Source organism: Homo sapiens, chromosome 19 (genome assembly GCF_000001405.40).
Source record: "Homo sapiens chromosome 19, GRCh38.p14 Primary Assembly".
Classification (NCBI taxonomy): Eukaryota; Metazoa; Chordata; class Mammalia; order Primates; family Hominidae; genus Homo; species Homo sapiens.
Window position 1 is genome coordinate 4815052 of NC_000019.10, and position 19547 is coordinate 4834598.

Genomic DNA, 19547 nt, shown 5'->3' on the forward strand with positions numbered 1-19547 from the left:
TTCTCAGATGAAAAAGCAGAGGCTCCGACAGGGGAGGCACTTGCCAAATGTCACACAGTGGCATCGGAGTCCAACCTTGGTGGGGGCATCAAAGGCAGACCCCAAAGAAAAAGGAAGGGCTGCAGCAAAAACTGCTAAATGTCCCCCAATGGCATTCATTCAAATTCATGCATTTATTCACTCATCCATTCATTCACTCACTCATTCATTCATTCACTCATCCTTTCACTCACTCATCCATTCACTCATTCATTCACTCACTCGTTCATTCATTCACTCATTCATTCACTCACTCGTTCATTCATTCACTCATTCATTCACTCGTTCATTCTTTCACTCATTCATTCACTGACTCGTTCATTTATTCACTCACTCATTCACTCATTCATTCATTCACTCACTCGCTCACTCATTCATTCATTCATTCATTCATTCATTCATAGCTCACTGCAGCCTTCGGCTCCTGGGCTCAAGCAATCCTCCCACCTCAGCCTCCTGAGTACCTGAGACTACAGGCGTGCACCACCACGCCCAGCTAACTTTTGTATTTTTGAAGAGACGCGGTCTCACCATGCTGCCCAGGCTGCACCCTCCCCGCCCTCAACAATATCTTTTCCCTCCACCTTTCCTGGTATTAGAACCCCGACTCGGGAGGCACACGGCCGTTCAGAAAGGACTACATTTCCCAGGGTTCCTTGCGGCAGGAGCAGGGCCATGTGATTATATTCTGGCCAATGGGATGAGGGCAAAGGCCGGTCTATGCCCTCCAAGAAGAGGCGTGCACTTCCCGCTTCCTGTTCCCTTTTGCGGGAGCGGGAGCCACGTGTTTTATAACAAATAGCCAGGCAGAAGGTGTCCCAGAAGACAATGGCGCTGCGGAAGCATTCAATAAATATTTATTATAATTAAAAGACCGTAGCAATACCCCCACCACCAAGACCCTTCACCCAGAAATAGAGAGATTGGAATTGTAAACACCGTATCCAGTTCTGACCACCCTGAAAGCCAGGGCATCATCGCGCCCGTTTTGTCCTAAATGAAGGGCTCCCGGACAATGTCCTGAAAGTGGCAGATGACCTCATCTTCCACTGTCCACAGGGCACAGGGCAGACCGGGGTGCTCTATGGGGTCCTGGCCGATGCCTGGGTCCAGGGGTGTTCCCCAGGTGGTCAGGCAAGGACACGCGGTCATTCTGCCTCCTGCGTCTTGTCCTCGGGCGCCTGGGACCCTCTCTGGTTCCACATGTGGTTGTTCAGCCCCAGCTGTACCATCTGTGCGTGGTGGATAATGAGGGGTTGCAGCCCTGGGCTCTGAGGGGGTGCGGGTGAGGCCGTAGGGAAGGCTGGGGACTGCGGGAAGGGCAGTGACTGTGGAAAGGCTGCTGGCTGTGGGGAGGGCGGTGGGGGGGTGCCAGCCTGCCATGCGTGCAGGGGTGGCGGCTGCGGGCACCCCGGCCAAGTGGGAAAGGGTGGCGGGGCTCCCAGGGGCACCTGGCCCCCAAAGGGCATTCGAGCCCCATAGGGCGCCCCAGTCCCAAATGACATGTGGCTCCCAAAAGCCACCTGGAGCTGCTCCATCTGTGCCTGGTAGGACAAGTAGCTCTGGAGGTAGGCTGAGTAGGCTGCGTTCAGTGCCGCCGCCTGCATCCGCTCACCGTCCAGGTGTTGGCTCTGTTCCCGCAGGGCTCGGGTGTCCTGTTCCTTCCTCCACATGGCCTTTCGGGCCTGAAGCCTGTGGGGCTTGAAGGTGTTGGCCACCTTCCTGGCGAAGATCTGGGAGTGTTCGTCCAGCCGCACCAGCCCGGAGAGCAGGCTGGCCGTGTCGGAGCTGAGCTGGGCCGGGGAGCTCTCCAGGGGCAGGAAGGGGATGACACAGTCTGGCGACCCCTGTCGCGTGAGGTTGCTCATCATGGCTTGGTTCACCTGGTGCAGGCTCAGGCGACAGTCGAAGTTGGAGGTGAGAAGTAGGATGATGAAAGCTGAGTGGTCTATGGCGTCCTGCAGGCAGCTCAGCTCCCCGCGCCCCGGCACCTGGAAATCCTCGCAGAAGGTGGCCCCGTCGGGCACGCCAAGGGCCTCCAGCTTCTCCCGAACCCGCAGGGCGATGTGTTCGTCTGCCCTGGCGTGGAGGATCACAAAGTTATAGAATTTCTGTTCCGATGATGATTCCAGGGAGGAAGGGAACAGGGAGGAGGGGGTCAGGTGAGCTGAACAAGGAGTAGATGAAGGAGGAGGAGGAGGAGGAGGAGGGGATGTTTCTGGGGTGGTGGGAGTAGGTGGGCACGGCTTGGTATTTGGAGAGGTGGTATCTTCTACAGAAAGTTGGAGTGGCGTCTGGTCTTTGACAGAGCAGGGGTTTTTGACCGGCTCCAGAATAGGCAAGGGGAGAGACTGGGGGCCTGCAGACCCCTCGGTGCACTCCACTGGGTAGTTGGTGCTGGTTTCTGGAGCTGCGGGGGTATCAGGGAGGCCAGTGGAGGTTGCATCTGGGGCCACTTCGGGAAGCCCAGGAGGTGGGCTGCTTGGCAGCTCTGGTGGGCTGGCAATCTCCCCCGATGGCGGCCAGCTCATCTCCTCAGGCTCCTGGCAGCCACCGGGGACAGGCTCGGGCACCAAGCTGGCCTGGGGGTCGTCACAGAGCTTGCTGGGCCCATGTGGGCTGCGGTGCAGGCTGAGGAAGGGCATGGTAGGGGACTGGCTGATTTCCAAGTTGCTGGCCAGGGAGGCAGGGCTGCCAGTGGATCGCAGGGAGCACCCTTGGCTCCAGTCCGAAACACCGTCAATGGGGCGTGGGAGGCTCCTGGTCCCAGAGGGCAAAGCCGAGGATGGTGGGAGGCAGCCCAGATTGGACTGGAGCGTCCGGATGCTCCCTGGATCCCCAGCAATGTCCCACCCACACCGGTTTCGGGCCTCATCCTGAAGTTCCCCCAGCCGGTGGTCGTCCCTGGAGCTGAGGGTGCGGACGGCTTCCTGGTAGGCCACGTCCCGCAGCGAGGCGGGGCACAGCTTCTCCTCAGCCAGCAGGTGGTACAAGCGGGCCACAGCCCAGGACACATCTGGGGGCTCCTCTGGGTCCTCGGTGCTGTCCACGCCAGCCCACTGGCGGGCCACCAGCCGGGCCACCGCATCGGCCTTCAATGCCTCTAGAGAGATCCTGGCCTCAGTTTCCTGGCCCAGCTTCAGGAGAACCATGGCATGCAGGAGGTCCTGCCCCTGGCAGCCTGGGCGTGGGGTCTTCAGTTTGTGCTTCAGATACAAGAGCTTGTCCTGGCCTGCTGCACCTAGAATGTCGAAGGCGCTAGGAAGTGATGGGCCTGTGCAGGCCATGGGCACAGGTGGGTGCAGCCTCCGGCAGCAGAAGCTGGAGGTGGTGAAGGCATGTTCCACACTGCCCCCCGCCTTCTGCACGCCCAGTGTCCCCTACCCATTCACTGTTCCAGGTTCTGCAGGAGCTGCCCAAGCAGATCTGTAGGAAACAGGAGAAGCAAACACACTTACCCCCAAGAAAGGTCAGCACGGGAAGGCGGCCCACACACCCCCGCCTGCTTTCCCCGCCTGCCACCCAGACCTAGCCAGGTGACCTTCGGCAACACGTCGCCTCCTTCAACTTCCATTTCTTCCTCTGCAAAATGCTATGAGGCCAGTGTGGTGGCTCAGGCCTGTGATCTCAGCACTTTGGGAGGCTGAAGCAGGAGGATCACTTAAGCCCAGGACTTCGAGACCAGCCTGGGCAACACAGCCAGACTCCGTCTCCACTAAAAGTTTAAAAATTAGCTGGGCTGGGTGAGGGGGCTTAAGCCTGTAATCCCAGCAGTTGTGGAGGCCGAGGCGGGGGGATCACCTGAGGTCAGGAGTTCGAGACCAGCCTGGCCAACATGGTGAAACCCCGTTTCTACTAAAAATACAAAGAATTAGCCAGGAGTGGTGGTGCATTCTTGTAATCCCAGCTACTTGGGAAACTGAGGCAGGAGAATCGCTTGAACACAGGAGGTGGTGGCTGCAGTGAGCCAAGATCATGCCACTGCACTCCAGCCTGGGCAGCAGAGTGAAACTCCGGCTCAAAAAACAAAAAAAGTAGCTGGGCGTGGTGGCACGTGCCTGTTGTTCCAGCTACTCCGGAGGCTGAGATGGGAAGATCGCTTAAGCCCAGGAGGTTGAGGCTGCAGTGAGCTATGATGGTACCACTGCACTCCAGCCTGGGCAACAGAGTGAGACCCAGTCTCAAAAAAAAAAAAAAAATGCTGTCATCTGAGACTTACCTGGTGTTACCTGAGAGGTAAACACTATTACACTATTTTCCCCATTTACAGATGAAGAAAGCAAGACACACAGAGGTGATGTCACTTGCCCAAAGTCACACTATCAGTGGATGGCAGAAGACGGATTTCAACCCAGGCAGTCTGGCTGTGGAGGCTGTGTGCCTAATGGCATACACTTACAGACTTGTTTTGGGGAATTGAGTTGGATTAACACAGAGATACTTCTGAGCTTGATGACTGAAAGCCAGTAGGTGCTCAATACATGCTTGCTAAATAGCCTCGGCTGAGCACGGTGGCTCACACCTGTAATCCCAGCACTTTGGGAGTCCAAGGAGGGCGGCTCACCTGAGGTCAGGAGTTCAAGACCAGCCTGGCCAACATGGTGAAACCCCATCTCTACTAAAAATACAAAAAAATTAGCCGGGTGTGGTGGTCCGCGCCTGTAGTCCCAGCTACTCAGGAGGCTGAGGCAGGAGAATCGCTTGAATCCGGGAGGCAGAGGTTGCAGTGAGCAAAGATCGCACCATTGCACTCCAGCCTGGGCAACAAGAGCGAAACCCCGTCTCAATAAATAAATAAATAGTCAGCCTTCTAGATGGTCCTCAAGGACCCAACATCCTGGTATTTGCAGTCTTGAGCAGTCCTTCCAACACTGTCCCAGCGTTGGACTATGACATTAACAGAATATGGCAAGGGAGCCAGGCACCACATCCACTCATTTTTCAAGAGAAGCCAGAGATCTAGATTTTTAGAAATCCGCTCATTCTTCTCGGGATGACAATCAATTCCAATATTTTTAAGAGACTTTGTGAGTTTAAAAAAAAGTTTGGGCCAGGCGCAGTGGCTCACGCCTATAATCCCAGCACTTTGGGAGGCTGAGGCGGGCAAATCACGAGATCAGGAGGTCGAGACCAGCCTGGCCAATATGGTGAAACCCCGTCTCTACTAAAAATACAAAAAATTAGCTGGGCATGGTGGCAGGCGCCTGTAATCCCAGCTACTCGGGAGGCTGAGGTAGGAAAATCGCTTGAACCTGGGAGGCGGAGGTTGCAGTGAACCGAGACTGCACCATTGCACTCCAGCCTGGGCGACAGAGTGAGACTCCATCTAAAAAAAAAAAAAAAAAAGTTTGGAGCCAGGCCTGGTGGTGTGTGCCTGTGGTCCCAGCTACTCGGGAGGCTAAGGCAGGAGGATTGCTTGAGCCAAGGAAGTTGAGGCTGCAGGGAAGGATACATACATAGCATTCATTCATTCATTTAAGAAGTAATTTTTTGGCCGGGCGCGGTGGCTCATGCCTGTAATCCCAGTGCTTTGGGAGGCTGAGGCAGGTGGATCACAAGGTCAGGAGTTCAAGACCAGCCTGGCCAACATGGTGAAACCCTGTCTCTACTAAAAGAAAAATAAAAAAAATAAAAAATAAAAAATTTAGCCGGGCATGGTGGCGTGTGCTTGTAATCCCAGCTACTTGGGAGGCTGAGGCAGAAGAATCGCTTGAACCTGGGAGGTGGAGGTTGCAGTGAGCCGAGATCGTGCCACTGCACTCCAGCCTGGGCAAAAGAACAAGACTCCATCAAAAAACAAACAAAAAGAAGTAATTTTTAGCCAGGTGTGGTGGCTCATGCTGCTAATCCTAGCACTTTGGGAAGCTAAGGCGGACAGATCATTTGAGGTCATGAGTTCAAGATCAGCCTGGTCAACACGGTGAAACTCCCGTCTCTAGTAAAAAAAAAAAAAAAAATTGCCAGACATGGTGTTGGGCACCTGTACTCCCAGCTACTTGGGAGGCTGAGGCAGGAGAATCACTTGAACCCAAGAGGCGGAGGTTGCAGTGAGCCGAGATCACGCCACTGCATTCCAGCCTGGATGACAGAGTGAAACTCCATCTCAAAAAAAAAAAAAAGTAATTTTTTCAGCATCTGCCATGTATTGGGTACTAGTGAATACACCAGTATGCAGACAAGGAAAAACAGCAATGGACTCTTCCCTGGAGCAACTGACTGTCTAATGGTATGTTAGTTATATGTAATATATAAGCATCATATATATTACATACGACAATATAACGGGCATGTGTGGATACACACACACACTTACATGCAACCACTTATTTGAGGGCTTACTACATGCTATATTGTGCTCCCCATCTGTTCTTTAAACTGGGCACAGTCCTGCCTCAGGACCTTTGCACTGGCTGTTCCCTCTGCCTATATCTCTGTTACCCCCCAGATATCCCTATGGCTCACTCCCTTACCCTCCTTCATGTTTTTGGTTAAGCCTGTCCTGATCCCACCGTGCAGATCTCCCTTTGACAGGGGCCACAAAATATGGCCCACGATTTTTTTTTTTTTTTTTGAGACAGAGTCTCACTCTTGTTGCCCAGGCTGGAGTGCAATGGCACGATCTCGGCTCACCGCAACCTCCGCCTCCCGGGTTCTAGCGATTCTTCTGCCTCATCCTCCCAAGTAGCTGGGATTACAGGCATGCACCACCATGCCTGGTTAATTTTGTATTTTTAGTAGAGACGGGGTTTCTCCATGTTGGTCAGGCTGGTCTTGAACTCCCAACCTCAGGTGATCTGCCTGTCTCGGCCTCCCAAAGTGTTGGGATTACAGGCATGAGCCACCCCGTCCAGCCTTTTTTTTTGAGACAGAGTTTCACTCTTGTTGCCCAGGCTGGAGTACAATGGTGCAATCTCAGCTCACCGTAACCTCCACCTCCCGGATTCAAGCAATTCTCCTGCTTCAGCCTCCCGAGTAGCTGAGATTACAGGCGTGCGCCACCATGCCCGGCTAATTTTGTATTTTTAGTAGAGACGGGGTTTCTCCGTGTTGGCCAGGCTGGTCTTGAACTCCCGACCTCAGGTGATCCGCCTGCCTCTGCCTCCCAAAGTGCTGGGATTACAAGCGTGAGCCACTGTGCCGGCCAATTGTTTTTTAGTTTTGTCTTGTTTTGACACAGAGTCTCGCTCTGTCGCCCAGGCTGCAGTGCAGTGGCATGATCTTGGCTCACTGCAACCTCCACCTCCCAGGTTCAAGCGATTCTCCTGCTTCAGCCTCCCGAGTAGCTGGGACCACAGGCACCCGCCACCACGCCCAGCTAATTTTTGTACTTTTTATAGAGACGGGGTTTCACCATATTGGCCAGGCTGGTCTCGAACTCCTGACCTTGTGTGATCCGCCCACCTTGGCCTCCCAAAGTGCTGGGATTATAGGTGTGAGCCACTACACCCAGCCAATTGCTTTTATAAATAAAGTTTTATTGCAACACAGACATCCTCACTCATTTACACACATCGATGGCTGCTTTCCCACTAGAGTGATGGAGTAGCTACAACAGAGACCATGGGGTCTACAAAGTGGAAAATATTCACTCTCTGACCCTTGACAGAAAAAGCTTGTAGACACCTGGGTTATGAGACAGGCATGTGATTTTTTTTATTTTCCATTCCACAGAGGGGCAAACATGACCAAGATCACACAGCTAGTGACTGACAGAGCAGCCATTTGATGCCAATGTTTGTAACTGTAACACCAAATGCCTTTTAATTAGTATGGGGTATGACTGGCTATTATGGGTTCAATCGTGTCTCTCCCCAAAATCATATGTTGAAGTGCCAACCTCCAGTAGCTCAGAATGTGACTTTATTTAGAGAAAAGGCCTTTTTTTGGTTTGTATTTGGCTTTGGTGTTTTTGTTTGTTTGTTTTTGATGTTGAAAGTATTTTTATTTGGCCGGGCCTGACGGCTCATGCCTGTAATCCCAGCAATTTGGGAGGTGGAGGTGAGCTGATCACTTGAGATCAAGAGCTCGAGACCAGCCTGGCCAACATGGTGAAATCCCGTCTTCACTAAATATACAAAAATTACCCAGGCATGGCCAGGCGCAGTGGCTCACGCCTGTAATCCCAGCACTTTGGGAGGCCGAGGTGGGCAGATCACCTAAGGTCAGGAGTACGAGACCAGCCTGGCTAACATGGCGAAACTCCATCTCTACTAAAAATGCAAAAATTATCCAGGCATGGTGGCGGGCGCCTGTAGTCCCAGCTACTCGGGAGGCTGAGGCAGGAGAATGGCGTGAACCTGGGAGGCGGAGCTTACATTGAGCCAAGATAGCGCCACTGCACTCCAGCCTGGGTGACAGAGCAAGACTCTGTCTTAAAAAAAAAAAAAAAAAAAAATTAGCCAGGCATGGTGGCATGCGCCTGAAATCCCAGCTACTCAGGAGGCTGAGGTGGGAGGATTGGTTGAGCCTGGGAGGTTGAGGCTGCAGCAAGCAAGCTAAGATCTCGCCACTGCACTCCAGCCTGGGTAACAGAGCAAGAACCTGCATCAAAAAAGGAAAAGGCAGGGGGCATTCAGATACAGACACGTAACTGCACAGAAGGAAGATGATGTGAGGAGACCCAGGGAGAAGGCGGCCGTCTGCAAGCTAAGGAGAGTCCTCAGAGGGAACCAACCCTACAACACCTCGATCTTGGACTTCCAGCCTCCATAACTGTGAGAGAATAAATTTCTGTTGCTTAAGCCATCCGGGCTGGGGCACTTTATTACCACAGCCACAGTAGCTAATACACTGCAGATACTTGCAGTCTAGATCAGCCTCAACACTCTCTGTCTGTGTTGTCCAGTATGGCAGCCCCCAGCTACCTGTGTCTACTGGGCACCTGAAATGTGGCTGTGGTAGTAAAGAGACACTGAATTTTAATTTTTTTTTTTTTTAGGATGAAGTCTTGCTCTGTCGCCCAAGCTGGAGTGCAGTGGTGCGATCTTAGCTCACTGCCACCCCCCTCTCCTGGGTTCAAGTTATTCTCGTGCCTCAGCCTCCCCAGTAGCTGGGATCACAGGCACATGCCACCACGCCCAGCTAATTTTTGTATTTTTAGTAGAGACAGGGTTTTGCCATGTTGGCCAGGCTGGTCTTGAACTCCTGACCTCAAGCTATCTGCCTGCCTCAGCCTCCCAAAGTGCTGGGATTACAGGTATGAGCCACCATGCCTGGCTTGAATTTTAACTTTTATCCAATTTTTTTTTTTTTTTTTTTTTTGGAGACAGAGTCTCGCTCTGTCATCCAGGCCGGAGTGCAGTGACGCAATCTCAGCTCACTGCAACCTCCGCCTCCTGGGTTGAAGAGATTCTCCTGCCTCAGCCTCCTGAGTAGCTGGGATTACAGGTTCGCACCACTATGCCCGGCTAATTTTTGTATTTTTAGTAGAGATGGGGTTGCCTCATATTGGTCGGGCTGGTCTGGAACCCCTGACCTCAGATGACCCACCTGCCTCGGCCTCCCAAAGTGTTGGGATTACAGGCGTGAGCCACCGCAGGACACAAAGAAGGGAACAACAGGGCCAGGCACAGTGGCTCACACCTGTAATCCCAGCACTTTGGGAGGCCGAGGCAGGTGGATCACCTCAGGTCAGGAGTTCAAGACCATCCTGGCCAACATGGCGAAATCCCGTCTCTACTAAAAATAGAAAAATTAGCCACGTGTGGTGGCGGGTGCCTGTAGTCCCAGCTACTAGGGAGGCTGAGGTGGGAGAATCACCTGAACCCAAGAAGTCGAGGCTGGAGTGAGCAGAGATCACACCACTGCACTCCAACTTGGGTGACAGAGCAAGACTCTGTCTCCAAAAAAAAATAAAATAAAATAACAGAGCCTGCTTAAGGGTGGTGGTGAGGAGGAGGGAGAGGAGGGTCGGGAGCGGTGGCTCACGCCTGTAATCCTAGCACTTTGGAAGGCCGAGGTGTGTGGATTGCCTGAGCTCAGGAGTTCGAGACCAGCCTGCGCAACATGGTAAAACCCCGTTTCTACTAAAATACAAAAAATTAGCCGGGTGTGGCAGTGTGCGCCTGTAATCCCAGCTGCTTGGGAGGCTGAGGGAGGAGAATTGCTGGAACCCGGGCGGCAGAGGTTGCAGTGAACTGAAATGGCGCCACTGCACTCCACCCTGGGCGACAGAGCGAGACTCTGTCTTAAAACAACAACAACAAAAAACTACCTATCAGGTACGACAGTTATTACCTGTGTGATGGAATAATCTGTACACCAAACCCTGTGACATGCCATTTAGCTATATAACAAACCTGGATATGTACCCGTTAATTTTTGTATTTTTGTAGAGACTGGGTCTCCCCATGTTGCCTGGGCTCAAGTGATCCTCCCACCTTGGCCTCCCAAAGTGTTGGGATTACAGGCGTGAGCCACCGCGGCCGGCATTTTATCTAATTTTTAATTAATTAAGGCAGGGTGCAGTGGCTCATGCCTATAATCCCAGTACTTTAGGGGGCTGAGGTAGGAGGATCTCTTGAGCCCAAGAGTTCGAGACCAGCCTGGGCAACAGTGAGACCCATCTCTACAAAAAATAAAAATAGGCCGGGTGTGGTGGCTCACGCCTGTAATCCCAGCACTTTGGGAGGCTGAGGCAGGTGGATCACCTGAGTTTAGAAGTTCGAGACCAGCCTAGCCAACACAGTGAAACCCTGTCTCTACTAAAAATAAAAAATATTAGCAGGGCATGGTGGCAGGTGCTGGTAATCCCAGCTACTCGGGAGGCTGAGACAGGAGAATCGCTTGAACCGAGGAGGCAGAGGTTGCAGTAAGCCAAGATCACACCATTGCACTCCAGCCTGGGCAACAAGAGCAAAACTCCATCTCAAAATAAAGAAACAAACAAATAAATAAATAAATAAAATTAAAATAAAAATAATTAGCTGGGTGTGGTGGTGCATGCCTGTGGCCCCAGCTCCTTGGTAGACTGAGGTCAGAGGATCGCCTGAGGCCAGGAGAATCAAGGCTGCAGTGACCGGAGATCGCGCCACTGCACTCCAGCCTGGGCAATAGAGTGAGACGCTGTCTCAAAAACAACAAAATAAAAAAGGTATGGAAGATGCCTCATTCGTAATGGAACATTATATTGGACCATGTTGGGTATATTGAGTTAAATAAAATATATTATTAAATGCATTTACATATTGGATTAATAAAATGTATTATTAGGAGATATATATATATATTTATTTATTTATTTATATATTTTGGAGATGGAGTCTTGCTCCATTTTCCAGGCTAGAGTGCAATGGCATGATCTCGACTCACTGCAACCTCTGCCTCCCAGGTTCAAGCGATTCTCTTGCCTCAGCCTTCCGGGTAGCTGGGACTACAGGCATCCGCCATCATACCCGGCTAATTTTTGTATTTTTAGTAGAGACGGGGTTTCACCATGTTGCCCAGGCTGGTCTCGAACTCCTGACCTCAAGTGATCTGCCAGCCTCGGCCTCCCAAAGTGCTGGGATTACAGGCGTGAGCCACTGTTCGCGGCTGCTTCATGTTATATTTCTGTTGGACAGCACAGTTTTAGACATCTCCACTACAGTCCAGTAATATTGGAGTATGGCCCCTTTTTGACACAAGGAAACAGAGGTACAGAGAAGTTGAGTAAGTAGTCCAGAGTCACACAGCTCATAAGGGATACAGCTGGATTGGAACCCAGGCTGTCTGGTTCTAGAATCCACTGAGCTTTTTGGCTCCTTTTAACATTTTCAGATTTAACACAGACTCCAGCTTATGTGGACCTGGTTATGGGGCCTGAGAAACAGCCTCACCTAGTTTTAATTAAACTAATGTTCAGGAAATAAGCATATGGCCTAAGTACTCCTCTAGAGAAGTGGAGGATAAAAGGTTTTTCCTAATAATCTTAGGAAATAATAATAATAATAATAATAAAATAATGCAGGCACAATCGGACAATAAGAAAAAGGCCAGACGGCCGGGCGCAGTGGCTCACGCCTGTAATCCCAGCACTTTGAGAGGCCGAGGCGGGTGGATTGCCTGAGGTGAGGAGTTCGAGGCTAGCCTGGCCAACATGGTGAAACCCCGTCTGTACTAAAAATACAAAAATTAGCCGGGCATGGTGGCGCAAGCCTGTAATCCCAGCTATTCGGGAGGCTGAGGCAGGAGAATCGCTTGAACCCGGGAGGTGGAGGTTGAACCCGGGAGGCGGAGGTTGCGGTGAGCTGAGATCATGCCATTGCACTCCAGCCTAGGCTACAAGAGTGAAACTCTGTCTCCAAAAAAAAAAAAAAAAAAAAAAAAAAAAAAAGAAAAAGGCCAGATGCCCAGCTTCTATCTCTGTTGTAAGCTCTACATAAAATGGGATAAAAATGAAAATGGGCTGGGCGCGGTGGCTCACGCCTGTAATCCCAGCAGCACTTTGGGAGGCCGAGGCGGGCAGATCACGAGGTCAGGAGATCGAGACCGTGCTGGCTAACACGGTGAAACCCCGTCTCTACTAAAAATACAAAAAATTAGCCAGGTGTGGTGGCGGGCACCTGTACTCCCAGCTACTCGGAAGGCTGAGGCAGGAGAATGGTGTGAACCTGGGAGGCGGAGCTTGCAGCGAGCCGAGTTGGTGCCACTGCACTCCAGCCTGGGTGACAGAGTGAGACTCCATCTCAAAAAAAAAAAAAAAAAGATCCTATATTCAGGTGGGACCACAAGTCGGCCAAAACTTTTTGAAATGATCAAGACAACTACTTGGAATACGGTCCAATACCCCCACCCCCCGTTAAGTTCGATGATCCACGAATCAACTGCTCTTCCCACCTCCCGGTGTTTCCTGGGAACGGTTGTGTGTATAACTTACCAAGCAAAAAGCAAACATACATTGGCACGTACCCTCCAATTTTTAGCTGATAAGAGGGCATAGATGATAAAGTGTGGAGAAGGGCCATGCTGGGACAGGGTAGCAGTGGGGCTGGGCGTCATGCTGAAAATTCATTGAGTTTAACACTTAGAATTCACACTCTTTTTTGTTTTTTTTATTTTTTTTGAGACGGAGTCTCGGTCTGTCTCCCAGGCTGGAGTGCAGTGGCGCGATCTCGGCTCACTACAAGTTCTGCCTCCCGGGTTCCCACCGTTCTCCTGCCTCAGCCTCCTGTGTTGTTGTTTTTTGACAGGATCTTGCTCTGTTACCCAGGCTGGAGTGCAGTGGTGTGATCATAGCTCACTGCAGCCTCAACCTCCTGGGATTAAGAAGTGATCCTCCCACTCAGCCTCCCAAGTAGCTGGGACTACAGGCACATGCCACCATGCCCAGCTAATTATTAATGTTTTGTAGGGACGGGGTCTGGAACTCCTGGGCCCAAGCGATCCTCCCACCTTGGCCTCCCAAAGTGCTGGGATTACAGGTATGAGCCACTGCACCCAGCCTACATGTCAGTAAAATATATATACATATATATATTTTTTGAGACGGAGTCCCACTTTGTCGCCCAGGCTGGAGTGCAGTGGTGCGATCTAGGCTCACTACAGCCTCCGCATCCTGGGCTCAAGTGATTCTTGTGCCTCACTCTCCTGAGTAGCTGGGATTACAGGAGCCTGCCACCACGCCCAGATAATCTTTTTTTTTTTTTTTTTCTGAGACCGAATCTCCCTCTGTCGCCAGGCTGGAGTGCAGTGGCGCGATCTCGGCTCACTGCAACCTCCACCTCCTGGGTTCAAGCAATTCTCCTGCCTCACCCTCCCGAGTAGCTGGGACTACAGGTGCATGCCACCATGCCCAGGTAATTTTTGTATTTTTAGTAGGGACGGGGTTTCACCATGTTGGCCAGGATGGTCTCAATCTCTTGATCTCGTGATCCGCCTGCCTTGGCCTCCAAAATTCTGGGATTACAGGCGTTAGCCACCACGCCCTGCTAGTTTTTGTAATTTTAGTAGAGACAGGGTTTCAGGCTGTTGGCCAGGCTGGTCTCGAACTCCTGACCTCAATCGATCCGCCTGCCTTGGCCTCCCAGAGTGCTGGGATTACAGGCATGAGCCACTGCGCCCGGCCTGTATAGGACTCTTAAAGCAGTGCCTGGCACACGCATGCCCCACAAACATTAGCATGCAAGACTGAAACCTCCTTGCAAGAAGGACTCAGGGGAGTTTTGCAGAAAACACGACAAAGCCAGCCAGACTTAGAATCATCAAGGCAGGACCATCTCCACCTGAATGCCTGGCAAATCTCTAAAATCACGTGGTCTTTCTTCTCATTCTCTCTGCCCCCCCGGGCCTGAACTCAACTCTATTTCAGTGACTGCCCCAGCTTCCCCCGCCCGCCTCCCCTGCCCACTGCCACCTCCACCTTCTCGAGACCCAGCAAGTTTCATTTCTCACTGTCCATGGCTGGGACAAAGTCCACTCCTCACTCTGAAGAGCAGGCGCCTGGCGGGACAAAAACACCCATGGGGTAGGAGGGTTCTGGCTCTGCCACCTGCCGGCTTGTGTGGTCTGTTTCTCAGCCTCAGCTTCCTCATTTATAACACCCACATGAACTGGTACTTAGGATGAATGGGAGTCTGTTTTGAAGCTTTCATGCGAAAATATGGTTAAAAAGTTTAGATCAGTGCCCAGCAAGGAGCAAGAGCTTGATATAATAATATTAGTGTGACAATAAATATTGGCAGACTTTTTCTCTTCCTCTTCCTTTTTAAAAAAATTTTTGATTTTTAATTTCATTTCTTTTTTTTTTTTTTTTTTTTTTTGACACAGAGTCTTGCTGTGTCGCCCAGGCTGGAGTGCAGTGGCGTGGTCTGGGCTCACTGCAACCTCCGCCTCTTGGGTTCAAGTGATTCTCCTGCCTCATCCTCCTGAGTGGCTGGGATTACAGGCATGCACCACCACGCCCCGCTAATTTTTGTATTTTTAGTAGAGACAGGGTTTCGCCATGTTGGTCAGGCTGGTCTCAAACTCCTGACCTCAGGTGATCTGCCTGGGATTACAGGCGTGAGCCACCTGCCCAGCCCCATTTCATTTTTTTTAGAGACAGGGTCTCACTCTGTCACCCAGGCTGGAGTGCAGTAGTGGGATCACGGCTCACTGCAGCCTTGAACTCCCGGGTTCAAGTGATCCTCCCACCTCAGCCTCCCGAGTAGCTGGGACTACAGGTGTGCGGCACCACACCTGGCTAATTTTTGTATTTTTGGTAGAGACAGAGTCTCACCCATGTTACCCAGGATCCTGGGCTCAAGCAATCCACCTGCCTCAGCCTCCCAAAGTGTTGGGATTACAGGCATAAACCACTGCACCCGGCTAACTTTCTTTTTGAATTTTTTTGTAGAGGTGGAGTCTCGCTATGCTGCCCAGGCTTGTCTTGAACTCCTGGGCTCAAGTGATCCTCCCACCTTGTCCTTTTTAAATGTTTTAACCACCTCTCCCACTCTCCTTCCCACACTCTCATGCAGCCTTTCATGCATCGAATATGCATTTATTGAGCACCTACTAGGTCCAGGAACTGTTCAAAGTGCCACTGCATATCAAGGCAGGCACATCTACCCTCACAGAGCTCCCAGTCTGGTTCAGGGAGACCAACAGTAAGCGAGAAAATAACCCAAGATCATTTCAGAGAATGAAAAGTAACGTGAAAGCCATGAGCCGGGGGCTGTGTGGCTCTGAGAGACTGGCTGGGAAGGGGCTACAGGGGACCACGGTGGTCAAGGGAGGCCTTTGGGGACAGGAGGTAACATTGAGCTGAGACCTAAAGGAGCTGAGGGAGGAGGCTGGGTGGAGATCAGGGAGGAAAGCTTCTGGAAGGTGAAGCCACCTGCCCAAAGGCCCTGGGGCAGGACTGCGCCTGGTGAGCTGGAGGAACAGTAAGGAAGCCCATGTGGCTGGATAACCGTTAGGAGGGGGAGAAAGGAAGAAGGTGTGTGGTGGTACAGGGTGTGAGGTTGGGATCCTGGGTGTCAGGGAAGAGTTTGGGGTGTCAGGGAGGAATTTGGGGTGTCTGGGAGGAATCTGGGGTATTCGGGAGGGATCCTGGGTGTTGGGGAAGAATCCAGGGTGTCAGAGAGGGGTCCTGGGTGTCACGGAGGAATTTGGGGTATCAGGGAGGGACCTTGGGTGTCAGGGAGAAATTCAGGGCGTTGAGAGAAATATGGGGTGTGAGGTAGGAAGCTTGGGTGTCAGGAATTTGGGGTGAGAAGGAATATGGGGTTTCAGGTAGGAATCCTGGGTGTTGGGGAGGAATCTGGGGTGTCCGGGAGGAATCTGGGGTTTGGGGGAGGGGTCAGGCTGTCGGGGAGGAAGCCAGGGTGCTGGGGAGGATCCCGACAGTGGGGGAGGATCTGGGCCACCAGCGCGGGGAGCTGGAGGTTGAGGGGAACGTCAACCTCCCAACGCGCGGCGCCAGGCCCCCTCCTCCGCACCGGGGCCCTAAGAGGGAGGCCAGGTGGCCTGGAGCCCTGGCGAGCGGCACGGGCTCAGGGCCACCCCCCACACCCCCGACACCTTCTCCACCTCAGGCCCGTCCTCGCCCCTTCCCCACCTACCAGGGATCCGGGGCTGCCGGCTGCGCCACTGGGTCCTGGGGTCCTGGGGGCTGGGGCTTCTGCGGAGTTGCCCGCGGACCGTAGCGCGCTGAGGGCGCTGGCTCCACCCCGCGGCCCGCGCCCTGGGAAGGAAGCGCGCCGCCCCTTCCGCGTCCCGGGTGGGTGTGGGACGTGAGGTCACGGTTTCGGAGTCCTGCCCCGCAGCACCGGGAAAGTCCCCGGGTCGCCCCGCACCCATGCGCTCTCTTCCCAACCCTTGCGGTCACGTTCAGCAAGTGTGAGCACCTACTGTCTGCAGGGGGCCAGAAGAACTCGCATCTGCTCTCGGGGAGCCCACAGTCATCTGGGCGGGGGTCCCAGATGAGAAAGTAATCACAATTGTAAAGTGGGATCATCTCCGTTAGTGATAGGTGCTTTCCAGGAAATAAATGTAGCAGCTGTTTTTATTTTATTTCTCTTATTTTATTTGTTTGTTTGTTTATTTATTTTTTTATTTATTTTCCGAGACGGAGTTTCGCTCTTGTTGCCCAGGCTGGAGTGCAATGGCGCAATCTCAGCTCACTGCAACCTCCGCCTCCCGGGTCCAAGCAATTCTACTGCCTCAGCTTCCTGAGTAACTGGGATTACAGGCATGTGCCACCACACCTGGCTAATTTTGTATTTTTAGTAGAGATGGAGTTTCTCCACCTTGGTCAGCGTGGTCTCGAACTCCCAACTTCAGGTGATCCACCTGCCTTGGCCTCCCAAAGTGCTGGGATTACAGGTGTGAGCCACCGTGTCCGGCCTCCCTTTTTTTTTTTTTTTTTTTTAGTTGGAGTCTTACTCTGTGGCCTAGGCTGGAGTGCGGTAGTGCGACCTCGGCTCACTGCAACCTCCACCTCATGGGTTCAAGCGATTCTCCTGCCTCAGCCTCCTGAGTAGCTGGGATTACAGGCACGTGCCACCACACCTGGCTAATTTTTGTATTTTTAGTTGAGATGGGGTTTCACCATGTTGGCCAGGCTGGTCTCGAACTCTTGACCTCAGGTGATCTGCCCGCCTCGGCCTCCCAAAGTGCTGGGATTACAGGCGTGAGCCGCTGCGCCCGGCCTAATTTTATGATTATAATAATTATTATTATTTGAAACGGGGTCTCCCTATATTACCCAGGCTGCTTTCAAACTTCCAGGCTCAAGCAATCCTCCCGCCTCGGCCTCTCAAAGTGCTAGGATTACAGGTGTGAGCCACCGCACCTGGCCTATATTATTTTTATCACCACATTAAATAAGATCTAATAATCACAGTGATTTTGCCGTGGTGACAAGTGTCAGATGTGTTTCTGGTTGCAATGCAATCTGAAAGTATCTGTGGTTTTTATTAGGGACAAACGGACAAAGTCCCAGGTCCTGTGGTTGTCTTCATTAATAATTGAGGGAATGGTAATTATCAGTTAGAGTCAGTGAAAATAAAGATGTGAAATTTTTTTCCTCCATCAGAATTCACAGACACCCTGAACACCCCTAAGAGGCTCAGGGACCCCAGGCTGAAGTTCACCTAAAAGTTCTTGTAGGGAGATAGCAATGGAAGTTATGTTGATGTCAAATCCCCCACAGTTCCCCTTATTGAGTACTTCTCTCCAGTGAGGGAGAAATTTTATTGAGCACTGACTGTGTTCCAGGAACGTCTAGGCTCTGGGAATACAGTAGCGGGGAAGACAGAAATGGTCTTACCCTTCAGGGTCTCCAGGGCTGGTGGGGGAGAGAAAGTTAAACACATCCTCCTGGCCTCTCTGTCTCCCACCCCAAAATTACCAATTCAAGGAGTGTCTCATAGGTGCTTGTACCCATGCAAAACTGTGCCCAGACTTTTTTTTTTTTTTTTTTTTTGAGACAGAATCTCACTCAGTCACCAGGCTGGAGTGCAGTGGTGCAATCTCGGCTCACTGCAACCTCAGCCTCCCGGGTTCAAGCGATCCTCCTGCCTCAGCCTCCCGAGTAGCTGGGACTACAGGTGCATGCCCCCATGCCTGGCTAATTTTTGTATTTTTAGTAGAGATGGAGTTTCACCATGTTGGCAAGGATGGTCTCGATCTCTTAACCTCGTGATCCACCCGCTCAGCCTCCCAAAGTGCTGGGATTACAGGCGTGAGCCACTGCACCCGGCTTTTTTTTTTTTTTTAGAGATGGGATTTCACTCTGTCGCACAGGCCGGAGTGGAGTGGCGCCATCATAGCTCAAAGCAGCCTCCAATTCTGGGCCTCAAGCGATCCTCCTGCCTGAGCCTCCCAAGTAGCTGGGACTACAGGCACGCAACACTGTGTTGAATTATTTTTTACATTTTTCTTTTAGAGACAGGGTCTCACTATGTTACCCAGACTGGTCCCCGACTCCTAGCTTTAAGAGATTGTCCCAATTTGGCCTCCCAAAGTGGTGGGATTACAGACATGAATCACCGTGACTGGGCTTTGCTGGTCAACTGATCAATGTCCTTTTTTTTTTTTTTTTTTTTTTTTTGAGACAGGGTCTTAATCTGCCACCCAGGCTGGAGTGTAGTGGTGTGATCACTAATCACTGTAGCCTTGACCTCCTGGTCTCAAGCGATCCTCCCACCTCAGCCTCCCAAGTAGCTGGGACTGCAGGTGCATGCCACCATGCCTGGCTAATGTAATTTTTTTTTTCTTTTGTAGAGATGATGTCTTTCTATGTTGACCAGGCTGGTTTCAAACTCCTGGCCTCAAGCAATCCTCCTGCCTTGGCTTCCCAAGGTGTTGGAATTACAGGCGTGAGCCACCATGCCTGGCTTGATCAATGTCTTAAAACAACCGTTTCTCCATCAAAATGGGTTTGATGGTTCCCATTTTACAGATGAGAGAACAGGCTCAGAGAAGGTAATGGCTGAAGAATTCAGAATTCCAGGGCTGCAGATGGGTGAATTTGGCCACTTGCAGAGAGGTGCAGTTGCCCCCTCTCTTCTTCAGTGAAAGAAACAGGCCGGGTGCGGTGGCTC

At 51.8% G+C, this 19547-nt stretch overlaps 1 protein-coding gene across 4 annotated transcripts, besides 3 other annotated features; it reads right to left on the minus strand.

Moving 5' to 3' along the window:
* Positions 802-931: an enhancer, noted in NCBI's record as "active region_13783". NCBI's record gives its function as "activates an Ori minimal core promoter by ATAC-STARR-seq in GM12878 lymphoblastoid cells {active_cell/tissue: GM12878}" and the evidence as "EXISTENCE:reporter gene assay evidence [ECO:0000049][PMID:35858748]".
* On the minus strand, positions 881-16661 carry TICAM1 (TIR domain containing adaptor molecule 1). Of its 4 annotated transcripts, none has more exons than NM_001385678.1 (3): positions 16563-16661; positions 3424-3465; positions 881-3280 (listed from the first exon to the last, which is right to left on the minus strand). In NM_001385678.1, exons 2-3 carry the CDS (start codon positions 3425-3427, stop codon positions 1188-1190), a joined length of 2097 nt encoding a protein of 698 aa, NP_001372607.1. In that variant the 5' UTR covers positions 3428-3465; positions 16563-16661; the 3' UTR covers positions 881-1187. The 4 variants fall into 4 exon arrangements, with proteins under 4 accessions (NP_001372607.1, NP_001372609.1, NP_001372608.1 ...); NM_001385680.1 differs by having other exon boundaries at positions 881-2755; positions 3333-3465; NM_001385679.1 differs by lacking the exon at positions 3424-3465.
* Positions 16378-16497: a silencer, noted in NCBI's record as "silent region_9906". NCBI's record gives its function as "represses an Ori minimal core promoter by ATAC-STARR-seq in GM12878 lymphoblastoid cells {active_cell/tissue: GM12878}" and the evidence as "EXISTENCE:reporter gene assay evidence [ECO:0000049][PMID:35858748]".
* Positions 16508-16797: a silencer, noted in NCBI's record as "silent region_9907". NCBI's record gives its function as "represses an Ori minimal core promoter by ATAC-STARR-seq in GM12878 lymphoblastoid cells {active_cell/tissue: GM12878}" and the evidence as "EXISTENCE:reporter gene assay evidence [ECO:0000049][PMID:35858748]".